This window comes from Homo sapiens, chromosome 3, assembly GCF_000001405.40.
Source record: "Homo sapiens chromosome 3, GRCh38.p14 Primary Assembly".
NCBI lineage: Eukaryota > Metazoa > Chordata > Mammalia > Primates > Hominidae > Homo > Homo sapiens.
In genome coordinates this window covers 14,262,796-14,290,054 of record NC_000003.12, presented here as the reverse complement: position 1 = coordinate 14,290,054, position 27,259 = coordinate 14,262,796, and the positions used below count along the sequence as shown (strand labels likewise).

Here is a 27,259-nt window from a genome sequence, read left to right as displayed (position 1 = left end):
GAGAGAGAAATCAATCATTCATAGAGGGTTCGTTGTGAGCCAGGCTCTGGAGCAGGGTCTCTTGCAGCCTTTTTTCCATGTGATTCTTACTGGTAACAGAACTAGAAAGCCGCTGAGTTCAAGTCTGGCATGTGTTCTACTATAACACAACTTCACAGCCTTTCCTCAAATGAATGTGGATTCCTTACAGTTAATAAAGTGCTTTTATATGCACCTTACCTCATGCGCTCTTACAGAGTGCTGTCACCTCTTTGCAATGGCCTTTGCAATGTTTCTGAGACCTTGAATGATGAGTCACAGCTCTGCAGCTGTTCTTTATCCTCAGCTTTCAGCAGCTTCTCTCTAAACAGGATCACTATTGATGTGAACTCGGAGTTGGATACAGTCAGCATCCGTGGAAGTTAGAGGCAGGTCACTGTGAGCCCATGTGGTGTCTTTGCTCAAATCAGAAAATGACTCCCTTTGCTCAAGATACTTCTAGCTTCCAAAAAAGTTGTAATAATTATTTTGTTAGAGTGTCCTTTGCAGCCATCTGCAAATAAATTACCTCTTTATGTATGTGAACCTACACTATTTTTGATATGAGAGAGGCCCACTTAAATGCAGCGACCTTGTGGAAGGCAGAACCTGAATGACTTTCATGATTTTCTACACCCCTGCACAAAATGTTTAGAACAGCAAAGCTATGAGTCCACGCAGAAAGGGAATCCATCTGGAAATGGCCACACTAGGACATATGCATGAACACATGCGATACCCTGGGGGTGACCATGACTGTCCAGGTTTTCCTAGAGCTGCTCCCCTTCACAGGACATTCAGTTCTGGTTCCCTCTCCCACATCAGCATGCTCTCCACCCCTCTGTAACACTGCCCCCATCCTAGTCACATTATGCACCTGCTCCAGGGTATGAAATGGGTTGAGCAATACTGGGTCCTTTTACAGTTCTCCTGGGATTGTGAGATGAAGTCCCTGAACTGTGCCCTGGGAAAAATCCCCCACTGTGACCCTGGGTGGTATTGGTCTCCAACACTCACCACACCCACGTTCCCCTGTGTGGCCAGCACCACTTCTAATGCCAGGGGGCGCACCTTTGAATTCTTCCAGCTCCTAAATTTAGAAACATGGATTAAATCTAAATAAATGGATAGTTATGTAACTTCTTGTCCCTTTTCACTACCCCCTCCCCTTGGAATAATCAGCCTTAATCAGCTAATGATGGGGCCCTGAATACAACCCCAATCCCCTGGGAAGCTATTGGGCTTACATAAGGAGTGACATTGGCTGGTATGCTTTAAAATACATTCTCTCATTCTGTCTTCTCTCTCTTTTTTCTCTTTCTCAATCTCTCCTACTCACCCATACATTCTGACACAGACACACACACACACATGCACACACACACACTCTCACTCCCCCAAACATGTCCATCAAGTGCTGAAGATGCTTAGCTAGCCTGGGATCAACTATATGCAAGCTGAGAGAAAGGGTTTACTCCTCAGGAGGTTCAAACTTATCACCTAAAAATAAATCACCTAAATCTGTAAATGACAGCTCATGCAGGAAGGAAGGGGGCTCTTTGCCATAGAATTATAGACTGTTTGAGGAAAAAGGGAGGGTCATTTGAGAACTTCCTAATCATCAGAACTGTCCAGCAATGGAATGGCTACTCTCAGGAAACAGTGAGCTTCCCGTCACTGGAGGTGAGTAAGCAGAAGTTGGGGATAATGGATAAGGATTCTTGCAATGAGCAGAGGCTGAATGGTAGCTTTTATGCAGGATCTGCTATGTGCCAGAAACTGTGCTCTAAAGGTATCGTAATGAGATGACAAAAAAGATTCATCTCACATGCCAAATCCTACCTATTGGGAGTGGCTGCCTGGAGCTCTGGACATACAGAAGATTCTGAGGGTCAGTGAGAAAGAATATCTTGAATGATTAGCAGTGTCTGTCATGGCTGCAGGATAAGCGAACAGAAGGTATCGATATGCTATTTGCCAATGATTTATTTTACTGTTTATTAATCCCTTTGTTGACGAGGAAACCGAGATTCAGAGGTCTGCGGTTGGTAAGTGGCAGAGCCAAGATTTGGACCCAGTCTAGCCAAAACCAGTCTGTGCTCATGGCCACTATACTATTCTTCCCCTCAATGACGTGAGGAATGGCGCTGGGGCTGCGTCCCTCATTTGCAAATGCTGTTGGCATGTGAGTTTTAGCCTCTGAGCTGTGGGTTCCAGAAGGTCATCTACTGGATCTGAAGGCTGACCCAAGGAGAAGACACACGTGCCACTCTCTGAGCCAGGACAGACTCCCTCCGTCCACCACCCGGCTCTGACTCCCAGCAACACTGGGAAGTGGGCCTGCCATGGATGATCAACACTGGGAAGTGGGCCTGCCATGGATGATCAACACTGGGAAGTGGGCCTGCCATGGATGATCAACACTGGGAAGTGGGCCTGCCATGGATGATCAACACTGGGAAGTGGGCCTGCCATGGATGATCAACACTGGGAAGTGGGCCTGCCATGGATGATCAACCTCACAGCACAGATGAGGAAACCGGGGCAACCAAGTATAGGCCATCTCTCCTCCTTGGATCCTGTGCTTGGTGGCACGTGAAAGCCCAGCGTTCCTGGCCAGAGAGCACATTCGACAGCAAATGCAGTGCAGAGGGACCCAGCAGGCACCTTGAGCCACAGCAGCCACTTCTCAGCCCAGCTGCTTCCTGCCAGCTCCCTGAGGCCATTAGCACCATGCCATGAGTCTTCTGATCGGGTTTCAGGCAGCCCCCAGTTGCAGGTGGAAATTACCCCTCCCCAACCACGTGATACCCCACATAGACACCTGTCCCTCCAGGTCTCAAACTGCTGGTGCCACAGCCAGGTAACATCAGTACCTCCCTCCTCTCCTGCTGGCCTCTTTCCAACAATTTCTTACTTCCCTCTCATCAGTCTCCCATCCTTCCTGTGCCAGAGCCCTCTCAGCCCTATTGTTCAGCTTCTGTCCTTACCACTTCCTCTGGGGGAGATCTTTTACCCCAATCCTTGCTAAGAAACAAAGCAATCAGGAGAACAGAGAAGATTTCAAATGCCAAGAACTTAAGCATGCAAAGTCCTAGAACAAGAAGGGGAACGTAACATGGGGCTGGTCCCTGTCCCAACCTTCCACTCTCTCCTTTGGTTCAACCTTCCACTCTCTCCTTTGGTTAGGATGGGGACATTGGCCGAGCACGGTGGCTCACGCCTGTAATCAACACTTTGGGAGGCCAAGGTGGGTGGATCACCTGTGGCCAGGAGTTTGGACCACTCTGGCCAACATGGAGAAACCCCGTTTCTACTAAAAATACTAAAATTAGCCTGGCGTGGTGGTGGGTGCCTGTAATCCCAGCTACTCAGGAGGCTGAGACAGGAGAATTGCTTGAACCCGGGAGGCGGAGGTTGCAGTGAGCAGAGATTGCACCCCTGCACTCCAGCCTGGGTGACCCAGCAAGACAATGTTTCAAAAAAAAAAAAAAGATGGGGGACACTGAAATCACAAAGGCAAGGCCTACACATTAAGGCCACTCAGGACCATGGCTGGGACCTCAGAGTTAAATAATCCACAGGGAATGGCTGTGACCTCAGAGTTAAATAATCCACAGGGCATGGCTGCTTTTGTATTCTGTCAGATGGTGCCTGAATTGTGCAAGGCAGAAGGTAGGAGCCATGGCCGTGGAGGCGAGGAACAGAGATGGGGTGTCTCCTCCCTGCTGAAATTTAACCTTGGTTCCTCTTCAAAGTGTCAAAGACTTTTACTGATGCTGCAGGAGTGCCTCCACGTTTAAGATAAACCCCAAGGTTCACCCTTCCAAAAAGATAAGTCGAGGGTTGGAAGAGGTTTCTGGTTGCAACAGAGGTACCCTGAACTGCTGCTTCTGGAGTGGATTTGAGCATTTTTTCACAGCTTATTAACTGGAAGCTGCCTGAAAAATCAATGAGACCAGTCATTTCCAAATTCTTGGAATCAGATCACTTTTTGCAAACAAAATCTTTCTGGGAACCTCAGTTCATTTAGACGGAAAAAAACCCCACAAGATGTTGAGGTGAGATGGGTCCCATGACCCCTCCAAAATTACATGCAAAATATGCATATGCATGAGTTTCCCCTGGCTGGGGTCCCTAGTTATCTTGTGTCTCCAAGGGCTACCTGTCCCAGGAAGGGCTAAGAGGGTCTGGAAGTCCTGCTGACAGTCTAGGATGCCAGTGATTGTCATGTCTATTTCTGTTGCCTGCTTGTTTTGCTGAGCTCTGTTGCTCCAGCTGACGTTTAAATGAGTTTGCATTCGCAGAGCCCACACCAACTGGTGCTGTGGGTGCAGTGGGGGTGGGGGGATTGAGGAGAGCCCAAACTCAACAGATGGAAGGGGCGTGGCTGCGGAGATTAATGTGGTCCTAGATCTCCAGGAGTTGCCTGGGAGCATCTGAAATGCTTTAAAGAGACAAAGCAAGGTGCTGCTGGAAGACCTGGCATGTGGGCAGGACAGCCTAGTTCCAGCCTCTCTTCTTTCGATGTGCTGTGTGGCTGGGACAAGACTCGTTTCCTCTCTGTTTTTACTTGTGCCGTGAGGATCAGTGTTTCCCAAAATGTGAAGTTCATGGCACATGCCATGGCCTTAAGTAACATCAGCTTACTAACGGAGAAACTGCGTCTCTCCTGCTTCCTTTTTTTTTTTTTAAATGACACAGCCTCAGGAGGTCCTGATGACATGTGCCCCTCCTGGTTCCTTTTGAACCTTTGATTCTGACCGCATCCAGGGTGGAAGGTCAGGGCGGTGCCTGTATCTGGGATACCCCTCTAACCCCTGTCAACCCCCCTGGCAAAGCCCTGGCCACTGGCGAGCCCTGGGCAGGCCATGGTGCCGAGCTGGACAGTAGCACATGTTGTTTTCTGTGCATGGCTGCATTCTGATTACATACGGCGACACTAGTGCCCTTTCCAGCAGTGAAGTGAATGAAGTCTTCTAGATTTTTAAGTGATTTCAGTAAAGAAAATGTTAGTACAGGAGGGATGTGGCTATGACACAAATGTGGAGGTGGAAAAAGCCTGACGGGCTGACCTGCAGGGTTCTAAGAGACACTGCCACGTTGGATTCCATCCACCTGGACCCCCGGAGAGGGTCCCAGGGGGCCAAGCCCTCCCAGTGCCTCCAGAGCAGCAGGGGAATGTGGTGGGGTGGGTAAGGGAGATGCTTCTCAGGGTGCCAGGGGAGCTGTTCTGTGGGATCTGTGGAGCCGGGAAGATTGAGGACAATGAAAATCACTTCTGAATAGCTTAGGACATTACTCTTTCATGAAAACAATGTGGCTTTCTTGTAGGAATGAAGGCAAATTCACAGCTAGCTACTGTGGGCAATATCCCTGGGCCCCAGGTAATGTTGGTTCCCTCTTTGACCTGGGAGATCCTACCCCAGGCAGCAGCCTAGACTCCGGATTCTGGCATCAGACCTCCTGGGTGTGACTCCTGTGTTACCTGCATGAACCTGGGGTGCTCCTTCAAATTTGGGTAGGGCCCTGGCTTGCAAGCAAGCAACAGAAAACAGGCTCAGCTAACTTCAGCTAGAGATATGGGGCCTTATAGGAAGTATGAAATACAATTCTTGGAGTCAACATCTCAAAATCTATGGGATTCAGATGAGTGGGCCTAGGTAGCAAGGACAAGGAGACAGTCTTCAGTGTGAAGCAGCATTGGATGTGGCCTGTTTATGTCATATGATTTGAGTGGGGCCAGCCCAGGAGAGAGTGTCTGATTGGCCATGCCCAGGTCATGTGCCTACCCCTTGGTCAGAGGAGGATAGGGCACCTTGACTGACAGTCTTGACCTAACTGCAGCAATGAGGGTGGGAGGTTTCCCAAAGGGAAACTGGGGTGCCCCTCCTAGAAAAAGGGGTGAAGAATGCTAGGCAGGCAAGGAACACAAAAGTGCACCAGGCCCCTTGCCTCGGGTGCCTTGGTTTCCCCTTTATAAACAAGACTGAGTGTGGCTCAGCCCTTAAGGGCAGCTGAGGGATTCAATGATGTCACACACGTAAGGGTCTGGCTCTCTGTAACCGACACTCCATAAATGTCAGAGATTGGTTTTTAAAATAGTTTTTAAAATTAAAAACAGTGCACAAAACAGCCACTGTCAGCCAGATGTGAGCCTAACAGATGCCACATGCTCCTTTTGGCTACACCACAGGGGCCTTCAGGCGGGCAGATGTAGGTTCAAATCCAGAGTCCACCAATGAGTAGCCATGAGGTGCCAGGCAAGTAACCTCAGCCCTCTTGGCCCCAGTGGTCACATCTGACTGCCCGCTCTGCCTGGGTACCAAGCCTAAAGTCTAGATGTCAGCTGTCAGCACAGCCAGGCTGGGGGCTGAGGAGCTAGTGGGCGCCTCCCATGGTCCCATGGCTGTCATTTCTGAACATCAGCCTATCTGGAGAGGATGTACCAATCAGCCATACCACAAAATTGCGAAGTAACACACCACCCCAAAACTCGGAGGCTGGTGGTGGGAAGGCTGTATTCCTGCCCCTAGAGTGAGGTGGGGCCAAGGAGGGGAGGCCTGCCACCCCTGCACCATCCCCAGGGTGCAGAGATGGTCCTGACCAGAACCACACATCCACACCAAGGACCAAGGTCCCAAATGCCCCAGATTCCTGAAGCCAGTGACTCAGCCAGGGCTCCCAAGCTTGCTGTTTCTGGTGGGCACAGGGGCAGACCAGTCCAAGGGACTGGGTGAGTGAGGGATCTTGCACAAGAGAAACCACTAGTGAGCACCTGCTGTGCTCTCCACAGCTTCGTCCTGCTGCCACTGACTCTGGAGCCAGAGCGCTGGGATCAAACCCCAGTGCCACTGCCCACAGCTCATATGACCTTGGGCAAACCGGTTGCTCTCTCTGTGTCTTGGTATTCTTATCTGTAAAATGAGTTCCAATGCAGTTCTAACGTCCAAGGGTGTGAGAAGGGTATCCCAGCTCCAGAAAAGACAGGAAATTTGCCTACCTTTCCTCTGCCTTCTTGTTCTATCAAGGTCCTCAGCTGATTGGATGGTGCCTGTTCACATTAGGTGAGGGCAATCTGCTTGAACGTTCTTGAGATGCAGAACTGACTTCAAGTGGCTCCTCTGAACTTCTCACGATGTGAAGTAACACTTCCTTATGGTATGCTTATGAGGGTTTAAATGAGATAAAATTTGTGGAGTACTTAGAACAGTTCCTGGCGGTAAAACAAAACAAAAGAAAAGAAAACAAAAAGCACTATGCAAGCGTTGGAAGTGTTTGCTGTCTTCATCATCATCATTATCATCATCGCCGTCACTCCCATTACCCCTTTACCAGCGATGGCAACCCTTTGGGCTTCTGGGATGACTTTAAAGGAGAGAGAGACATATCTGGCTTCAAGAATCTTAGTTTTGTATTTCCCTTGACCTCCCTGGAAGCTGAAGGATGTGTAGTGCTGACAGCTAACATTTATTGAGTGCTTGCTGTGTGCCAGGCCCTGTGCTATGCTTGCTGCATGGATGACCTCACTTCAGTCCTACAAAGTAAGTGCTATTATCATCCCTGTCTCCCTTGAGGACCCGAGGCAGAGAAAGGTTAGGTCACTTGCTCCTTGTGTGTGCCAGTCAGGGCTCGTGTCTGCAGGCATTAAAGCAGAGCTTGGCCTTCTTAAGATGTAAAGGAATTTCCTGGAGGGATATCAGGTAGCTCACGGAATCTTCAGGAAGTCTGGAGAACCAGACTCAGAAAAACAGGTAGGAGCCAGGATGAGGGAGGCTGAGGGGGCACTGCCGAGGGGCCACTCCCATGAGCTGGGAGCACCGACGAGAACGGGGTCTTTGCCATTGCTGGGCCACCTTGGCTGCCGCCATCTCTGTGCGTAACTGCTCCTCCACCCCGCATCTTTGCATCTGTCACAGCATATTTAGTTTCTGGGTCGGGGCCCATGATTTGGACATTAGGAAGGAGAGAGAGGGAGGATCTTGCCCTTTTAAATTTTGTAGTGGGAGGTGGGCCCTGCCTTCCCCAAAACTCCACCGGCAAGGGGACAGATTCACAATAGGAAGGGGGTTGTATTATGCTGTTCTTGCATTAGTATAAAGAAATACCTGAGGCTGGCTAATTTATAAAAGAAAAAGAGGCTTAATTAGCTTATGGTTCTGTAGGCTGAACAGGAAGCACAGCTCCAGCATCAGCTTCTGGGGAGGCCTCAGGAAGCTAACAATTATGGTGGAAGGTGAAGTGGGAGCAGGCATGTCACATGGTGAAAGCAGGAGCAAATTGGGGAGGGCGGTGCCACACACTTTAAAATGGCCAGATCTCGTGCGAACTCAGAGTGAGAGCTCACTTATCACCAAGCGGATGGTCCAAGCCACTCATGAGGGATGGACGCCCCCATGATTTAAACACCTCCTACCAGGCCCCACCTCCAGCATTGGAGATTACATCTCAACATGAGATTTGGAGGCGACATCCAAGCTATATCAGGCGTCCGAGTAAAGAGGAGCCAGACAGGTGGCTAATGGGATGGCCGTCATCTCTGAACATCAGTCTCTCTGGGAAGGATGTACCAGTCAGCTGTGCTATAAGAATGCAAAGTAACACACCACCCCAAAACACAGTGGCTGGAAACAAGAACCATTTATTGCCAAGAATCTGCAAGTGGACGGGTTAGGGGAATTTGCTCATGCAATTATGGAGGCTGAGAAGTCCCATGATAGGCTGTCTGCAAGCTGGAGAACCAGGGAAGCCAGTAGTGTGGCTCTGTTCAAGGCCAAAGGCCTGAGAACAAAGGGAGCTGATGGTGCAACTCTTAGTCGGAGGCTGAAGGACTGAGAACCTGCAGTTCTAATGTCCAAGGGTGGGACAAGGGTATCCCTGCTCCAGAAGATACAGGAAATTTGCCCACCTTTCCTCTGCCTTCTCGTTCTATCTAAGTCCTCAGCTGATTGGATGGTGCCCATTCACATTGGGTGAGGGCAATCTTCTTGACTCAGCTGCTGATTCAAATGCCAGTCTCTTCCTGAAACAAACTCACAGGTACACCCAGAATTACCAGCTATCTAGGTGTCCCTTAAACCAGTCAGGCTGACACCTGAGATGAACCATCACAAATGCTCGACACCTCTACCTACTAGCCAGGGGCACCAAGGAATCCTTGGCTTGGATCACCTGGCTGCGGGGGTGTCTGTTGGTCCACCCAATATGTCTGTCAGCTGGCTAAGGAGACAGCAGAGCAGAGAGATAAAAACTGAGTCCTTGAGAACTTTCTTGAGATGCAAAATTAACTCTGAGTGGTTTCTCCGAACTGCTCATGGTGTGAAATGGCAAACCTCTTTGCTGTTTAAACTACTTGTAGATGCTCTGTTTCCTGCAGCCAAAAAGCATCCTCTCTGACACAGTAGTTCTTGGATTGGGCTATTTCAAAGGAATGAGAGGATAAGTACAGCCAACACTTCTGGAGGGTTTTCAGGTGATGTCACTTGTCCCAGGTCAAACAGGTAACAACACATTGCTGAGTCAGAATTTGAACCCAGCAGGCTGGCCCCAGAGAAGCGCTCTAACCCACAGCACCAGGCACAGTACAGAAAAATGCTTGACTCATGGCACATACTATGAAGCAAATCAGTGACTCTGTTCCTTTTGAAGTCACAGACTTTGAAAATCTGATTTTAAAACTGTAAACGTTAGAGTCCTTCTACCCCCACCCCAATGCACAACCCCACCCAAGTTTGCAACCAGTTCCAAGGGGTTGGGGAGGACATACGTTTCTCTGCCAAAGATGCAGAAGCCTTTGGCACCAGGCCACAGGTGTGGGGTCGGGGAGGAGTCAAGGTTGCAGTGATAATGGGCAGGGAAGGACCCCTTAAAATCCAGAATTTTAGCAGGTGCTGCCACCGAGAACACATTTGGGAGAGGCCCTTTTGAATGTTGAGCAGGGATGGCACATAGTTTTCCTCTCTGGAACCAACCTTGAATGCCTGGTGGAAGCTGCCTGGACGCGTGCTATAAAGGAGCTGAGGCTGGGTGCGAGGCGGTGGTGGGGAGAGTGGGATCTCTGCGGGGTTAGGAAGTCCTGCCCACGCTATGCACTTGCCACCCATTGGAAAGGTGCTGGTTCAGAATCGGAGACCTAGGTTCCAACTCGGAGTTTGTCAGCTGTGGCTGTGTGGCCTCAGATGGTCTCCTGCCCTCTCTGGGCCCTGGCTTCTCTGTTAAATGAGGGGCAGCATCAGATGATTTCTAAACTTCTCTGCTGGCAAGGCCCCTCCAGACGGCCGCTCTCTAAATAAAACCCTCTCTCCTGCATGCCAGCCTGTGATACTGCGCCTCAATCCACACAAATAGCTGAGCTGGGCACATTCAGCTCTCCTCAGCTTTCTCTGCAGACCTCTTCAAGCACATGTCTGGGTCTTCTCCTCCTGGGTCCAAGGGTAGATGGTCTGAGTTCCCCGCAGACAGCTCACAGGCTCCCCCATGGGGTTCAGGAGTGGTCGGAAGGGCAGGAATCAGCTCCACCCGTGACACCCCCGCCCACTGCCGCTGGGATGCCCCTCCACACCTCCACCCATCCATGCAGTGCTGGACCTGGGGCACCTTCCACCTCCCCACTACTTACTTTTGAGACTTCCCTCCCCATCTTGCACCTGTAGCTCTGTCTGCATTGCTCAGTTTAAAAACCGTTAACATTTGATTGCTTTACTCCAAGTCACAGGAGGGCAGGACTGCATCTAATTATCTGTGTAGCTGGCACACACCACCATCCCCAACCCCCTCCCAGCTGCTAGTGCTGGGTTATGGGAACCCAGCTGTGTGCCCTTGGGCGAGTCACTGAGGGTCTCAGAGAGAAGGAGCCTGTGGCTGCCCCCATTAACTGCTCCATCCCCAGGCTCCTCTTTTGCATTCCCACTCCTCGCCCCTCAGAGTCCTCCCCAGGCTCAGAAAGGTCTGCTTCCTGCAGTGCGACACCGGGCGTCTGCTCCTGGAAGCCCAGCCCAGCTGCAAGGGGCTGGCGGAGCAGGTCTTGGGCAACTTTGCCTGATGCTGGCTTCTGGGCATAGACAACTTTTCCCAGAGCCTCAGAGTTAGGAAAAACTCCCAGTTCCTCCTCGGTGGTTCCCATGGGAATGCCCTGAGGTGCTGTTAAAATACAGAGTTGCAGATCTCCCCATCCCACCAGACCTAATGAGTCAGCATTTCTGAGACAGGGCCCAGGAATCTGCATTTTAACATGTGACCCAGGTGACATACAGGAGACTGATTCAGCTCACATTTCTGCTCCAAAATTCCTTTTGCAGCACCCAAGCCCACTTAAACTTCTGGGGTGGGGAAAGGAGGCGAGGAGGCTTACTCCCTCCCACTCAGTGAGCCCATTCTGGGCAGCCTTGGCCGGGAAAGGCCTTCCTTCCTGGGGCTGCCCTCTCCCACCCCTAGGGTGCCTCCTCAGGGTGTCCCTGCCCCAGCACAGCTCTCAGGGCCTAGGCCTCCCGCCACCCCACTGCAACCACATCTGCTTTTCTCTGGCTCAGCCTCATAGACGTTGAGGCTGGTGCGGGAAGGAGGGCTGCCTGCAGGTTGTGGTGAAATGTGGGATGGTGGGAGCTGTGAGAGGGGACCTGGGGCCAGGCCTAGAGAGACAAAAACAGTTATATAGAAAACCAGGGTCAGAAATGGGAAGAGAGGCCAGGCACAGTGGCTCATGCCTGTAATTGCAGCACTTTGGGAGCCCGAGGCAGGTGGATCGCTTGATCCCAGGAGTTTGAGACCAGCCTGAACAACATAGTGAGGCCTCATCTCTACAAAACAGGACACTTTTAATGAAAGGCACTCAAGGTGTCTCTGGAGGGCAGTGGCAATGGGCACACTTGGTTTAAAGCTTGCTCAGGGATGATGGGCAGCTCAGAGATGAAAGAGATGAAGGGTCCTGGGTTCCAGTCCCACTCTGTCCTTTCCTGACTCTGTGGCCTGGGGCCGGTCACTTTCTGTCTCTGAGCCTCAACTTCCCCTCTAAACAATGCAGATACTCCTTTCCCGTACCCATGGGTCTCTACTGAGTATTCAGAGTGCCACGAGGGTGAGGACACCAGGCACAGTGTGGCCGCTCACTTGGTGACTGTGGCCTTCTCTGGAAATCCTGCACATGACAGGTCCTGAGTCCTGGGTCTTTCTGTCCCTCAGCTTTCCTGTCCTGGCAACAAGCTCAGAGTCACTGCTTCTGCCACCAGCCCCCACTGGCCAGCTGTGATGCTGTTGCTGGCCACTGTGGCAAGGTCCCTTACCCTCAGCATCCACTTCCCCTCTGCTGTCCGCATCATGCCTCAGAAATACCCAACTGCTCCCAGCTCCCCAAAGGCCAACTGTGCCTTCTGCTCAGTGCACGCTCTCACCATCATTTTCTCATGGAAATTCCTCCAGATTGCACTGGAACATTGCTCCTTCTCGAAAATTTCACCTTTTCCCCTCTCCTCGCCCCAGCTTGACCAGACATACCCCTTCGTCTGCAAACCCTCTCTACATTTCAACCACTTCAGTTCTGTTCCTGGCACACACACTGTTACAATATATCTGCTGTATGTCTGGCTGTGTGCCCTCACTACTGTAGCTACACTTTGAACAGACCAGCTCTATGAACCTCAACTTCCCCACCTGGCAAGTGGGCCACACACCCACTCCCTCTCAAAGCTGTTGTGAAGATTTCAAATAATGCATGTCTGGCGTGAGGCAAGGTGCCCAGCACGTGGTAGGTATCTAATAAATGGTGGTTAAAATGCTCGCTCTCTTATCCTAAGTGAAGTGACTTAGGAACAGAAAACCAAAGACTGCATGTCTTCACCTATAAGTGAGAGCTAAGCTATGGGTCACAAAGGCAGACAGAGTGGTATAATGGACTCTCAGAAGTGGGGAGGGTGGGGGGAGGGGTGAGGGATGAAAAGTCACCTATTGGGTACAATGTGCACTATTTGGGTGATGGGTATATGAAAAGCCCAGACTTCACCATACAATTTATCCATGTAACAAAACACCGCTGGTACCCCTAAAGCTATTGAAATAAAAATAAATAAAAGTCTTTAAAATGTATGCTCTGTGCTGGAGGCTGTACCCCTAATGGTCAGTGGGGTTGTGTTTGCTTGTGTGACAGGATACAGTGTTGATGTTCCCCTGAGAAGGTGGGCAGACCCCTCGCACCCACCTGTTCTCCCCAGCCCAGGAGAAACAGGCTCCATCCCTTCTCCAGCTCCCAGTGGGTGGGGTTCACTCCCTCAGGTCAGCTGCCTGCTGGGGCCTCCCAGGAAGAGCTGCGAGCCCCAGCCCCCTTCCCAGCCATCGGGCCGGCCGCGCCCTCCTTCCTCCTTCCTCACCTCCAGGCCTCTGTGGTCCAGCACACTCTGCCCAGCTGCAGGGACTCCAGCTGCAGGGACACCCCTGCTCTGACCTCTGAAGCTGATCCTCCTGTGTCTGGACTCCACTGAAGCTCTCTGTGTGGCTCGAGGAGGGTGTCTTTCAGCCTCCACCATCCCAGCTGGGATCTCCAAGCCCCTGTCCAGGGATTGCCAGGAGTCCCAAGCCTGGCCAGGGACAGACCTGAATGGGACTTCTGCTGAGATGCTGGGGGAACTAGACCCTCTCTCTGCTCAAGAACAGCCTGCAGTTGCTGGCAGCCACCTTCCCACTGAGGAGGATGAGAATGGCTCCTGAGAATGAAGCCAACACAGAAGAAGCGGAGTCAAGAGAAAGGACATGTGTACTGTGTTCTCTCCAGTAAGTCACAGATTTCCATTTGTTCATCTGTCAATTGGAGACATAATTTGAGCATGTGGTTCCAGCCATGCCTGAAACCCCAGGGCTTGCCGGTTATAGGAAACAGTATGTCTCACCACCCTCTGAGCCAGGTCTTCTGTCAGAGGCAATGAACTGCAAGAGATTCCACTCATGCAACAGAGGAGCTGAGGCACGAACCCAAACCTGCCTAGCAGAAAACAGCCCCCAAAATAGGGAATCCCAGACAGTTGAGTCCTTCCCACAACTCCTGGGAAGCAAGGCTCACCCCGACAAAGACGTGGCCACCATGATGCTTCCTGTGAAACCTATCATCAGTGAAGAGGTGGTGGGGAGCAAGTGAAACAATGCGGGCCCACCATCAGTGAGCGAGGCCTGCATTACCATTCACAGTGCCCTGGGAGAGCAGACTGGAGAGGACGCATGCCAGGTGCTCTCGAGGGGAGTTTGGAAGCTTTCTGGCTGAACAGCATCACATGGGGAAAGGGCCTGTGCACTTTGTGGTCTGGACGCCCCCTGTAGGGAGGGAGGAAAACTTACAGAGCTTCCTTAGATCTCTTGTTGGGTAAACTAAGGCCTGGGGGAAGCCATTTGCCTGAGGCACTTGGGCAGTTGGTGGCCGATGTGGAATGAGAACCCAGGTCTTCTGATTCTAGCCCAGGCTGGCCCCACTCAGCTGCAAGGAGCTGCTTGACAAGGTGCTCCCAAGGGATCGGGGGTGACCTGCTCCCCTCATGTTCCCAAGGCCTGGTACATGGTGGGTGCTTGCATGGGCTAAGACCTGGAGAATGAGTGGGATTAGACAAGTGGAGGGAGTGAGGAAGATGCTCCAGGTAGAGGGCATGGTAGGAGCAATGGCCTGAGATCCTTCTGTTCAACAACAACAACTACTACCTCTGCTATCCCCAATGAGCGATCACCATATGCCAAGTGCCAGCCAAGCATTTCACAAGCATTGCCACATTTAACTCTCACAACCACTCTAAGAAGCAGACACTGTTATCAGCCTTATTTTATAGATAGAGAAACTGGGGCTCAGAGAGGTTAAGTGACTCTCCCAAGGTCACACAGCCAATAGCCAGGGTTCAAATAAAGATGCTCAAGTCCATGCTCTTGGTATCAACACAGACCTGCTTTCTCAGTGGGTCCTCTCCAGTGCTCCATTCCCTCACCTCAGGAGAGTAAGGGGTCTAAAAGGCCCTGGGGAAAAGAGACCAGGGGCAGGAGGGAAGCCCCCAACCCTCCTGCTGAGGTGTCACCCAGGCCAACACCTTCCACACCGGGGGACTTCCCAGGGGCCTGAGCTGCCCATTCAAGCAGCGTCCCTCTGTGGTTTTGACTGTACAATGTCAAATGTCCCTGTCTCCAACCTGTCCTTGGTCAACCTTTAGACAGGCCCTGTCCCTGACACAGAACTAGGCACGCAGGTTGGGGATGGCTAGAGGTGAGTTAGGAGGCGGGGTTGACTCTGAGGGCCGGGACTTGAACTCCAGACCAGACTGAAGCAGGGAAGAGGTGAAAGCACCTCTCCATAAGACATGCCCACCAGTGTCATGTCAGTTCACCATTGCCATGGCAACACCCAGACGTTACCACCCCTTTCCATGGCAACAACCCGATGACCCGGAAGTTATCACTCTTTTTCTAGAAATGTCTGCATAATCTGCTCCTTAATTTGCATATAATCAAAAGTGGGTATAAATATGACTGCAGAACTGCCTCTGAGCTGCCACTCTGGGCACACTACCTATGGGGTAGCCCTGCCCCGCAGGGAGCAGTACCTCTGCTACTGCTGCACACTGCCACTTCAGTAAAAGTTGCTAACACCACTGGCTCATCCTTGAATTGTTTCCTGGGTGAAGCCAAGAACCGTCCCCAGCTGAGCTCCAATTTTGGGGCTTGCCTGTTCTGCATCACTGGGGCCTCCCTCAGGGATGGAGTAAATGGAAGGCCATAGCTTGCAGCTAGCAGGAGGAAGCCGTGCTCACAGGGGCTCCTGGGGCAGTATGTAGCTGTCTGGTGGCTGCCTGCAGACCTCTGGGTTGCAATACACCTGCCTCAGAGGCAGGCCCCCCAGCCAGTGGGAGAGTGCAGTGGGGGCTGGACGACCACTTTGTGGGAAGACTGCTTCTTAGAGCCACAGTACTTGCAGATGATGACCACAATAGAAGGGCTGACGCTTGCATAGCACTCACTGTGTGCCAGAAACGGTTCTAAGCGCTATCATGCAAGTTTACTCAAGCATCCTCTTGACTGGGCGGGGTGACTCACGCCTGTAGTCATCCCAACCCTCTGAGAGGCCAAGGCAGGAGGATCACCTGAGGCCAGGAGTTTGAGACCAGCATGTGCAACACAGTGAGACGCCATTTCTACAAAAAAATTTAAAAAGTTAGCCAGGCATGGTGACGTGCGCCTTTTGTCCCAGCTACTCAGGAGGCTAAAGTGGGAGTGAAGGGGTGACCTGCCCCTCCACACCTGTAGGCATTTCTCGTTGGGTGGGATGAGAGACTGAGAAAAGAAAGAGACACAGAGACAATGTATAGAGAAAGAAAAGTGGGCCCAGGGGACTGGCACTCAGCATACGGAGAACCATGCCGACACAGGTCTCTGAGTTCCCTCAGTATTTATTGATCATTATCTCTGCCATCTCAGAGAGGGGGCTGTAACAGGATAATAGGGTAATAGTGGGGAGAGGGTCAGCAGGAAAACATGTGAACAAAAATGTCTCTGTGTCATAAACAAGGTTAGAAAATGTGCTGTGCTTTGATGTGCACATACATAAATATATCTGATGCATTAAAGAGCAGTATTTCCTCCAGCATGTCTCACCTCCAGCCTTAAGGCAGTTTTCTCCTATCTCAGTAGATGGAACATACAATCGGGTTTTACACCGAGACATTCCATGGCCCAGGGACAAGCAGGAGACAGATGCCTTCCTCTTATCTCAACTGCAAAGAGGCCTTCCTCTTTTACTAATCCTCCTCAGCACAGACCCTTTAAGGGTGTTGGGCTGGTGGATGGTCAGGTCTTTCCCTTCCCACGAGGCCATATTTCAGACTATCACATGGGGAGAAACCTTGGACAATACCTGGCTTTCCTAGGCAGAGGTCCCTGCGGCCTTCCGCAGTGTTTTGTGTCCCTGGGTACTTGAGATTAGGGAGTGGTGATGACTTTTAACAAACATGCTGCCTTCAAGCATTTGTTTAACAAAGCACATCCTGCATAGCCCTAAATCCATTAAACCTTGAGTCGACACAGCACATGTTTCTGCGAGCACAGGGTTGGGGGTAGGGTTACAGATTAACAGCATCTCAAGGCAGAAGAATTTTTCCTAGTACAGAACAAAATGGAGTCTCTTATGTCTACTTCTTTCTACATAGACACGGTAACAGTCTGATCTCTTTCTTTTCCCCACAGGGAGGATCACCTGAGCCCAGGAGGTCAAGGCTTCAGTGAGCTGCGATCTCACTGTCAGGCCTCTGAGCCCAAGCTAAGCCATGGCATCCCCGGTGACTTGCACGTATACGCCCAGATGGCCTGAAGTAACTGAAGAATCACAAAAGAAGTGAAAATGCCCTGCCCCGCCTTAACTGATGACATTCCACCACAAAAGAAGTGAAAATGGCCGGTCCTTGCCTTAACTGATGACATTGTCTTGTGAAATTCCTTCTCCTGGCTCAAAAAGCTCCTCCACTGAGCACCTTGTGACCCCCCACTCCTGCCCGCCAGAGAACAACTTTGTAATTTTCCTTTGTAATCCCTTTGTAATTTTCCTTTACCTACCCAAATCCTATAAAACGGCCCCACCCTTACCTCCCTTCGCTGACTCTCTTTTCGGACTCAGCCCGCCTGCACCCAGGTGATTAAAAGCTTTACTGCTCACACAAAGCCTGTTTGGTGGTCTCTTGTGAGCTGCGATCTCACCACTGCACTCCAGCCTGGGCAGCAGAGCAAGACCCTGTCTCTAATAAATCAATAAACATCCTCTCAGCAGTTCTATGAGTGGGTGCTACTTTTATCCCCACTTCACAGATGGAGACACTGAGCTCATGCAGGAGAGACTCCTGGCAGCAAGTTAGGGGCAAGGCATAAACCAAGATCTCAGCCCCATCAGCGGGTAAGGACTGGCGCAGGAGGCAGTCCTGGCATTTTCAGGCCCACTCCCTTCAGAAAGTCAAGTGTGGGCTCCTACCAATTGACAATGCCAGGGCCTAGTAGGAAAGAATACATGGGCCAGGAACTGAACGTTGCGAGGAAGAAAATACAGAAGGCGCTGGGCGTGGTGGCTCACACCTGTAATCCCAAGAGTTTGGGAGGCCAAGGCGGGTGGATCACCTGAGGTCAGGAGTTTGAGACCAGCCTGGCCAACATGACGAAACTCTATCCGCTAAAAATACAAAAATTAGGCCGGGCGTGGCGGTGGCTCACGCCTGTCATCCCAGCACTTTGAGAGGCTGAGCTGGGCAGATCACCAGGTCAAGAGATCGAGACCATTCTGGCCATCATGGTGAAACCCCGCCTCTACTAAAAATACAAAAATTAGCTGGGCATGGTGGCGCATGGCTGTAATCCCAGCTACTTGGGAGGCTGAGGCAGGGGAATCCCTTAAACCCGGGAGGTGGAGGTTGCATGAGCCGAGATCGTGCCATTGCATTCTGGCCTGGCGACCGAGCAAGACTCTGTCTCAAAAAAAAAACAAACAAACAACAACAAAAAATTAGCTTAGTATGGTGGCGGGTGCCTGTAATCCCAGCATCCCAGCTACTTGGGAGGCTGAGGAAGGAGAATCACTTGAACCCGGGAGGCAGAGGTTGTAGTGAGCCGAGATCACGCCACTGCACTCCAGCCTGGGGGTCAGAGAGAGACTGTCTTAAAAAAAAAAGAAAAAGAAAAAGAAAACACAGAAAGCTCTTCAAGACAGCCAAACTAAAATCACACAGAGAAACCATTCTTCATTTTTTAAATTGGCAAAGACCAAAACAATCTGATAACATCTTGTGCTGGTAAAAGGTAAAGGGAACAGTATCACCTAGACATTAGTGGGAGAGCAAGGGAAGGACACCATTAATCTGTCAAATGCTTGAACCCTTTGACTAGCATGTGGATATGTGGAGCCCACAGTGTGAGAAAGAATGTCTGCTTAAAGTTATTCGTTGCAGTGGTGTTTAGGGTAGCACAAGTTTGGATAGTTAGGTCCCCAACAGGGAACTGGTTAAATAAATTATGCTTTATCTGTACAATGGAAATAAGGGAGTTCTTTACATGATGATAGGGAACTATCTATAAGCTATATTAAAGTAAAAGGCAAGGTGTCTAGACATTAAAGAACAAATTGATAAATTGGACTTCATCAAAATTGAAAATGTTCACTCAGCCAGGCACGGTGTTCATACCTGCAATCCTAACATTTTGGGAGGCGGAGGCAAGAGGATCCCTTGAGGCCAGGAGTTTGAGACCAGCCTGGCCAACACAGGAAGACCCTGTCTCTACAAAAAAATTTTAAAAATTAGCCAAGAGTGATGGCATGCCCCTGTAGTCTCAGCTACTTGGGAGGCTGAGGCAGGAGGATCACTTGAGCCCAGGAGGTCTAGGCTGCAGTGAGCTGTGGTCGTACCAATGCACTGCAGCCTGGTGACAGAGCAAGACCCTGTCTCAAGAAAATAAAAATGTTCACTATGTAAAATCTCTGGATGGAAAGACAAGCCCCAGACTGGGAGGAAGTCTTTGCAGATCTGCAAATAATCCGATCTCTGATGAAGGACTTGTATCTAGAATGTATAAGAACACTCTAAACTCAATAGTAAGAAAACAAACACTTCAATTAGAAAACTGGCAAGAAACACATACAGATACTTCACCAAAGAGGATCTGGGGATGGCAAATCCATAAGCACAAGAAAAGAAGTTCAGCATCACGGGTATCAGGGAGACGCAAATTAAAGCTATGGTGAGATATCACTACCACCTATCAAAATGGCTAATATAAAAAACAGGAACAATGACGAGTGCTAGCAAGGACGCAGGGCAGCTGGAGTCCTCATACTTGCTTCTGGGTATGGCCTCTCTGGAAAGTTCGTTATCAAGTTAAACACACACTTACCATATAACCTGGCAATTATTACTTCTGGGTATTTATCCCTGAAAAATGAAGACAGGTTTATGCAAAAACTTTTATATGAACATTTATCACAGCTTTATTTATAACAGCCAAAAGTTGGACACAGCACAAATGTCCTTCAGCAGGTGAGTGAATAAACAAACTGTGGGACACCCATGAAATGGAAGACTGCACAATAATAAAAGGGAATGGACTATTGATAAGCACAGCAACTTGAGTTGATCTTCAGGGCACTATGCTGAGCAAAACATGCCAATCTCAAAAGGTTATATACTATATAATTCCATTTATGTAACATTGTCACAGTGACATAATTATAGTAATGGGGAACAGATCAGTGGTTGCTAGGGATAGGGTTGGGGGAAGGTGCAATTCTACAGTGTTAACATGAGGGCATTTCTTTGCGGTGCTTGGAATAGTTCTACAGCCTGATGGCTACAAAATCTATCTACATGGGAAAGTTTCAGAGAATTATGCACCAGAAAACAAAAACAAACAAAACAATTATTACATGTAAAAACTGGTAACATCCAAATAAGGTCTGACTTAGTAATACTGTACCCATGTCAATTTCCCGGTTTGACAATGTAGCATGATTATGTAAGATGTTAGCACTAGGGGAGCTGGGAGAAGCTGGGTGAAAGGTGCATGGGAACTCTGTACTATTTTTGCAACTTCATGTGGGTCTTAAACTGTTGCAAACTAAAAATTTTTAAAGTAGAAATGGTTTGGGACTGTTTCGCTCAATTTGATTTTTTTTTCTTGCTGTAAAAAATAATAGCAAGGTGAAGAAGGTATGTAGAGAATACCATTTGTGTGAAAGATAAATGCAGGAGTCATCCTGTGTATGATAGAATATCTCTGGAAAGATACAGAAGGAACTGGGAATACTGGAGCCACATGAGATGCAACCGAAAATGCACAAGGATGAGAAAGAAAGCCTGATTTTCCAGTTTTCCTCTGAGAATTTTGACTTTTTTACTGCAGGTGTCTACCACTGTCTTAGTTTGTTCTTGCTGCTATAACAAAATGCCATAGATTGGGTGGTTTTATAAACAAAGAAATTTATTTCTCACAGTTCTGGGGCTGGAAAGTTCAAGGCCAAGGTGCCAGCAGACTTGGTGCCTAGGGAGAGCCTGCTGTCTTATTCATAGATGGTGCCTTCTTGCTGTGTCCTCACATGGTGGGAAGGGCAAGGGAGCTCTCTGGGGCCTCTTGTATAAGGGCACTAATCCCATTCATGAGGGTCCCACCCTCATGACCTCCTCACCTCCCAAAGTTTCCACCTCCCAACACCATCACCTTGGGGATGAGGGTTGCAACACATGGATTTGGCATTCAGACCATAGCAATCTCCATGTAAATTTTTAAATTTAATTGTCTTAAAAACTAAGAGTAGGACCCAAGGCAGTGGGGGAACTGTGGAGCCATCAGTTTGGCTCTGAGATCCTTGAAGGGTCAGCTCAGTAAGGAGAGGGAAAGTAGCCTAGGGACAAGGATTTTATCAGGAAGTCAATATTTTGTTAAGCTCAAGGGAGGCTCTACACACACACACACACACACACACACACACACACACAATTAATGGGGCAGGGAGGGCACTGGGCTGAGGTTGGCCAGGCCTGGGAATTGACGTCTTCTTCACCTGTGTTATAACAACAGCAACAAGGGGTAGGCATCACAGCCTCCACAACCGTGGACACTCACCGCAGGCCAGGCACTCAGCCAAGCACCTCTCAGGGGTTAACTCACGTTATCCTCTCAACAATGTCACTGTACAGAGGAGGAAGCTGAGGCACAGAGAGGCAAAGAGACTTGCCCAAGGCCCTACCTGACTTTGTAGCCCTCTAACACCTCAGGCCTCCTGACCAGCCCCAGGCCCTGGACGCTGAGGTGACAGGACACAGGGGTGGAGCAGCAGGATGGGCGGATGACAAATGTCTTGAGCACTTGCTTGGCCTCGGGCACAGACTCACTCATGGATCCTGCTGGGGAAGGGCAGGCAGACAGCACACAGGGCCACCCAATGGCAAAGATGACTGTCAAAGAGGCAGATGTGAGCAGCCCTGGGCTGGGGCAGGGGAGGCGGGAGTGATCTAGTGAGCTGGGAAAGGCTGGGGCTTAGAGGCAGGTATTCCCGGGTAGACCCCAGCTCCCACCTTGGCAGATGGCTCCTGTCTCTACTTGCCTTCTGATTCCTTCTTTAAAATGAGGAGCATTGCAACACCTGCTCCCGACCCAGGCTGCTGCCAGGCTCCAGGGCTCAGGCAGGGGACAGCAGGAGCTGCAGAAAGCCAGCTGGCTTCAAAACCTGAGAACGGCCCAGACCCCTGTCAGCAGGTGTCAGGGGAACTTGTGACACACCCATGCACGGAATATCATGTAGCTAGGAACAAGAGCAATTACAGTCACACGCAGCGTGGGATCTCCAAGAGTGATGAGCAAAAGAAACCAGGGAAGGAAAAGTACAGACTGGACCACCTCATTTACATGGAGTTTCAACTAGGCAAAACTCACCTATGGTGTTAAAAATCAGGATCGCGGGGACCTCTGGGGAAGAGGCAGAGAGGCTTTGGGGGACGGTGGGCACAGATGTGCTCACTTTCGACAACTCTTCAAGGGGCTGGGAAGTGGTGACCCGAGACAGGGCCTCACTGACCCCCAGTTTCCTCCTCTGGGAAGAAGATTTCACAAATGGCCCTGCCTGTTGAGGGTGTCGCGAGGGTCAGATGATGGCAGGTGACTTGTGGGTGTGGAGATGCCCCATGAGAGGCCACCATGGAAATGGTGGGTCACGAATTTTTGAAGCAGAGGCCTCTGGTGGGAAGAGCTCCCAAGAGAGAGCCCCGTGTCCTCTTCTATCCACTGCCCCTGCCTCCACGGCTGGAGGCCCTGGGCAGCCCTGGTGTGCGTGGGACCTAGGGGCCTCTGCCAGCTGCCCCAGCTTCCCTGGGCCCGGCTCCCAGAACTCTCAACCAGCAAAGCCCATCCAGCCTGAGCTAGGGAAGGATTCAGGGTGGAAATCCAGAGCCGGGGGCTGAGAGGGAGGCATCTCGGGCAGGGTGGCCAAAGGCTGGGGTGGGCAGAAGCCAGTGCAACGGTAGCCTTCCTCCCTCCACTCCTCAAAGCCCCAGCAACACTGCATCTCCACTGTGTTTCCTGGGACAAGCCACGGGGCCTCGCTGATCCTCAGCCTTCTCATCCATCAGGGGTCTGTTGTGGGGGTTAAATGAGATAATCAACTATTGGTGCTGAGTAAACAGCAGCTGCAATTGTCATTTTTACTGCTATCTCATTGTGGGGAAGGCTGTCTAGGGCATAGAGATGGAGAGGCTGTGAGGGTCCAGAAGAAAGCTTAGATTCATACACTACCCTTGTATACACTTTGCAAGTGAGGAATGCAAAACCCAAGGTCAGAGGCAATTAGGCCAGGGAGCCAGGGGGGCCCCCCAAGGCCCAGCCTCCTCAGTCCCTGTACTGACATTCTCACGTGGACTGCTTCCCACATGGCCACTCTGGAAGATGTACAGAAGGCAGAGAGGCTGCGGGCCAGCCTGGAGGCGGGTGGGAGATTCCCTGGGAGAGTGCATGCGCACACACACATGCACACACACTCGCCACGGTGGGAATCCCACGTTAGTCATTCTGTTTTAGGACTGGGAGCGTAATATGGAGCCGGCTTGCGCTGGAAGAGTGGGAGACGCAGATGCACCCTCTAGAACTGCCAGAGGCTTCTGCATGACTCAGAAAACTGGAAGAGGCCCCGCTCACCACTGACTTCAACTCTTCATTTGGAAAATCTGTTCTTTTTACTTATGAAATATTTCAGACATATAGAAAAGTACAGAAAGTAATGTAACAAACACCTGTGGATTTCTCACTTGGCTCCAGTTCTTTATTTTAATTAATTCATTTTATTATTTTTTTTTAGAGACAGGGTCTCGCTCTGTTGCCCAGGATGGAGTGCAGTGGTGTAATTACAATTTGCTCCAGGTTCAAGCTCCTGGGCTCAAGCGATCCTTCTGCCTCAGTCTCTCAAGTAGCTGGGATGTCAAGTGCATGCCATCATACCTGGCTAGTTTATTTTTAATTTTTAGACGCAGGGTCTCATTATGTTGCCCAGGCTAGTCTCCAACTGGCCTCAAGCAATCCTCCTGCCTTGGCCTCCTGAGTCCCTGGGATTACAGATGTCTGCTACCACAACTAGCTCCAGCTCCAGTTCTAACAGGTTGCTGGTCCTGCTCCTCCTCCTTCACTGATCATTTTCGGGATATAGTCAGAGCCCTCAGGCAGCCCTCTCTGATTGCATTTCTGTCTTTGTCTCCCTCCCGAGGGAATTAACTCCTTGCATCTGGAGTTTACCTTCCCATATTTGTTTTCACACATACATCTGTATCTATAAACATTGGTTTTGTTTGCTCTCAAACTTAATGGGACTATGCTGGATGAGTCACCCTTCAGCTTATCGTTTTGACTCAACATCACGTTATGGAGGCTCCTGCACACGGCTGCACAGAGCGTGAATCCATTCATCTGCAGTCTGTACATAAGCCACGATGCATGAAGCCCTTCTCCCGAGGATGGACTCCTAGGCCGTCTCCAGTTGTTTGCCCTCAAGTCAGCTGAACTTGTCTTCCAGAGCACTTGTGCAGAGTTAACCTCAGAGTGCAATGGCTGGGTCACAGGGTCAGGGCGTCTTGCGCTTCCCTTGATGATGCCCAACTGCTTTCCAAGGTGGGGATGCCACTTCACACCCCCACAGCTGCATAGACATCACAGCATTCCACACTGTGAGCAGACCAAACCCTCCCTTCTTAAGTGTGTAGGCTGAGATTGTGGGGAGGCAAGGGGTCCAAGATACCAGAGTCAGGGGCAAAAGGAGCCAGTACTGGAGCCCAGGTCTACGGATGTTGCAGTTATCTATTGCTGTGTGACAAACAACCCCCATGCTTAGTAGTTTGATTTTGCTCATGAATCCACAGTTCAGGCAGGGCTTAGAGGGGAAGGCTCATCTCTGCTCTGTGTGGTGTCAGCTGTGACAGGTTGGCGGGGGGGACCATTTCCAAGATGGTGCACTCATGGCGAGTTGGGGCTGGCTATGAGGGGGAGCTCAGGGGAGGATAAGGGTGGGATGAGGGTCTTGGTTTCATTCCACTCAGCCTCCTTACGGGCTGCTTGGGCTTCCTCAGGGCCTGTCTGGGTTCTGAGAACCAGTATCCCAAAGCTGTCATAGTGGCTCTTCTGCCATACTCCATTGGTCAAGCAGCCACAGGCTGCAGATTCCAGGGGAAGGAGGGGCTAGGTTGCACCCTGCCTCCTGATGGAAGGAACATCAAAGAATTTGGGGGTCATGTGTGAAAACTGACGCACCTGACTTCTGCAACATGCCTTCAATAATGTAAGGTTCCAGATGCTCCGACAGGCAGAAGGTGAATGAGTAGCAGTGTCCGCTAAGGACCACCCTTGTCATGCATGACTCCAAGCACCCAGAAGCATGCAGACCAACAAGGACCTAAAGCAGAGCCTCCCAGAGTCCTGGGCTCCAGTGATAAATCTGTTGATATGCTTTATTTGCCTGGAAGGAGAGGTTTTTATGTAAAAATAACTATCGGCTGTATCAGTCTATTCTTGAATTGCTATAAAGAAATACTTGAGACTGGGTAATTATAAAGAAAATGGGTTTATTTGGCTCATGGTTCCACAGGCTGTACAGGAAGCACAGCAGCATCTGCTTCTTGGGGGGCCTCAGGAAGCTTCCAATCATGGCGGAAGGCGAAGGGGGAACAAGGCACTTCACATGGCCAGAGTGCGAGGAAGAGAGAGGGGAGGTGCCACACACTTTTAAACAATCAGATCTCGTGAGAACTCTATCACAAAAACAGCACCAAATGGGGAAGTCCGCCCCATGATCCAATCACCTCCCACCAGGCATCACCTCCAACACTGGGGATTATAATTCAACATGAGATTTGGATGGGGACACAGAGCCAAACCATATCGTCAGTGTTTCAAAACTGGTAGAAGATTTGGCAACACTGAACTGTCATTTCCAGACGGCCCTGCTGGCCAAAATAAGGAGCGACCACCGGATAAATCCTCTGGTTTACTGCAGTCCCCGACATCCTGAACTGGCCGCTATGGGCCCTCAGGTTGGCAAACCCTAGGTCACGAATTCTAAGACATTAGAAAGACATTGGGGAATAATCATTCCCCAGTGGTTATTAGTGAACACAGTTCAGCGAGTACAGCTGGCAGACAAATGCATGGTGCTGATACGAAGTCCTCAGAAGATGTTCAGCTCTCTAGGAAGAACAATCCCAGAAGGCTTTCCAGAGGAGGTGACATCTCAGTAGTCTTGAAAAATGAGAAGGATTTGGGAGGCCAAGGCAGGAGGATCACTTGAGCTGAGGAGTTTGAGACCAGCCTGTGCAACATTGAGACAGCATCTATACAAAAAAATTCAAAAATTTGCTGGATGTGGTGGTGTGTTCCTATAGTCTCAGCTCTTGGGGGAGGGGACTGAGGTAGTGTTACAGTAGGTAGCTAGTCAGACATGAGCAGGGCAGGAGAGGGCCCTGCCTCCGGATCAGGAATGTGAGGTGACCATCAGGTGACGGTCAGGCGGTTGTTAACTGTCCCTCTAAAATAATGATAATTGGTTACAGCCAGTGCTGGGAAAGCCGGTCTCCCAATAGATAGAAACACCTGAAGCTGGTGATCAGCCGCTTCCTGATAAGATCTCAGGAGTTGGGTGAGTGGGCTCAAGCATGTGCATTAAGAGGCAAAACGGTGGGGTTTAATTGGTATATGAACTTCCTCTAGGAATGCTAGACTGGTAAGAGAAGAATACCTCCAGTGAGCACGTGCACAACTCCAGTAAACACACTGTGCTGGCCGGCCACTGTGCATGTGGACAGCCACCCAAAGGGAAGAATCAGGGGAGAAGGGACACGACCCCCTGGAAGCACTCCAATGTATAAAACCCCAAGTCAAAGGTCAAACCATACACTTGCACCTCTCAAGTCTCCTGCCTGGCCCTCTTTTTGAGTGTACTTTACTTCCTTTCGTTCCTGCTCTAAAACTTTCTAATAAACTTTCACTCCTGCTCTAAAACTTTCTAATAAACTTTCACTCCTGCTCTAAAACTTTCCTCAGTCTCTCACTCTGCCTTATGCACTTTGGTCAGACTCTTTCTTCTGAGGAGGCAAGAACTGAGTTTGCTGCAGACCTGTGTGGATTCACCACCACTAACTGTGGGAGGATCACCTGAGCCCAGGAGGGCAAGGCTGCAGTGAGCCATGATTGCAGCACTGCACTCCAGCCTGGGTGACAGTGTGACCCTGTCTCA

The 27,259-nt window shown here is 50.3% G+C and overlaps 7 annotated features.

The window, feature by feature from the left end:
* Positions 6,533–7,034: an enhancer, noted in NCBI's record as "H3K4me1 hESC enhancer chr3:14324521-14325022 (GRCh37/hg19 assembly coordinates)". NCBI's record gives its function as "activates a minimal SCP1, AML or CMV promoter by ChIP-STARR-seq in naive H9 embryonic stem cells {active_cell/tissue: H9 hESC(naive)}" and the evidence as "EXISTENCE:reporter gene assay evidence [ECO:0000049][PMID:30033119]".
* Positions 7,799–8,300: an enhancer, noted in NCBI's record as "H3K4me1 hESC enhancer chr3:14323255-14323756 (GRCh37/hg19 assembly coordinates)". NCBI's record gives its function as "activates a minimal SCP1, AML or CMV promoter by ChIP-STARR-seq in naive H9 embryonic stem cells {active_cell/tissue: H9 hESC(naive)}" and the evidence as "EXISTENCE:reporter gene assay evidence [ECO:0000049][PMID:30033119]".
* Positions 12,878–13,649: an enhancer, noted in NCBI's record as "H3K27ac-H3K4me1 hESC enhancer chr3:14317906-14318677 (GRCh37/hg19 assembly coordinates)". NCBI's record gives its function as "activates a minimal SCP1, AML or CMV promoter by ChIP-STARR-seq in primed H9 embryonic stem cells {active_cell/tissue: H9 hESC(primed)}" and the evidence as "EXISTENCE:reporter gene assay evidence [ECO:0000049][PMID:30033119]".
* Positions 15,969–16,740: an enhancer, noted in NCBI's record as "NANOG-H3K27ac-H3K4me1 hESC enhancer chr3:14314815-14315586 (GRCh37/hg19 assembly coordinates)". NCBI's record gives its function as "activates a minimal SCP1, AML or CMV promoter by ChIP-STARR-seq in primed H9 embryonic stem cells {active_cell/tissue: H9 hESC(primed)}" and the evidence as "EXISTENCE:reporter gene assay evidence [ECO:0000049][PMID:30033119]".
* Positions 16,741–17,514: an enhancer, noted in NCBI's record as "OCT4-NANOG-H3K27ac hESC enhancer chr3:14314041-14314814 (GRCh37/hg19 assembly coordinates)". NCBI's record gives its function as "activates a minimal SCP1, AML or CMV promoter by ChIP-STARR-seq in naive and primed H9 embryonic stem cells {active_cell/tissue: H9 hESC(naive and primed)}" and the evidence as "EXISTENCE:reporter gene assay evidence [ECO:0000049][PMID:30033119]".
* Positions 17,515–18,287: an enhancer, noted in NCBI's record as "OCT4-NANOG-H3K27ac-H3K4me1 hESC enhancer chr3:14313268-14314040 (GRCh37/hg19 assembly coordinates)". NCBI's record gives its function as "activates a minimal SCP1, AML or CMV promoter by ChIP-STARR-seq in naive and primed H9 embryonic stem cells {active_cell/tissue: H9 hESC(naive and primed)}" and the evidence as "EXISTENCE:reporter gene assay evidence [ECO:0000049][PMID:30033119]".
* Positions 22,720–23,359: an enhancer, noted in NCBI's record as "H3K27ac-H3K4me1 hESC enhancer chr3:14308196-14308835 (GRCh37/hg19 assembly coordinates)". NCBI's record gives its function as "activates a minimal SCP1, AML or CMV promoter by ChIP-STARR-seq in naive and primed H9 embryonic stem cells {active_cell/tissue: H9 hESC(naive and primed)}" and the evidence as "EXISTENCE:reporter gene assay evidence [ECO:0000049][PMID:30033119]".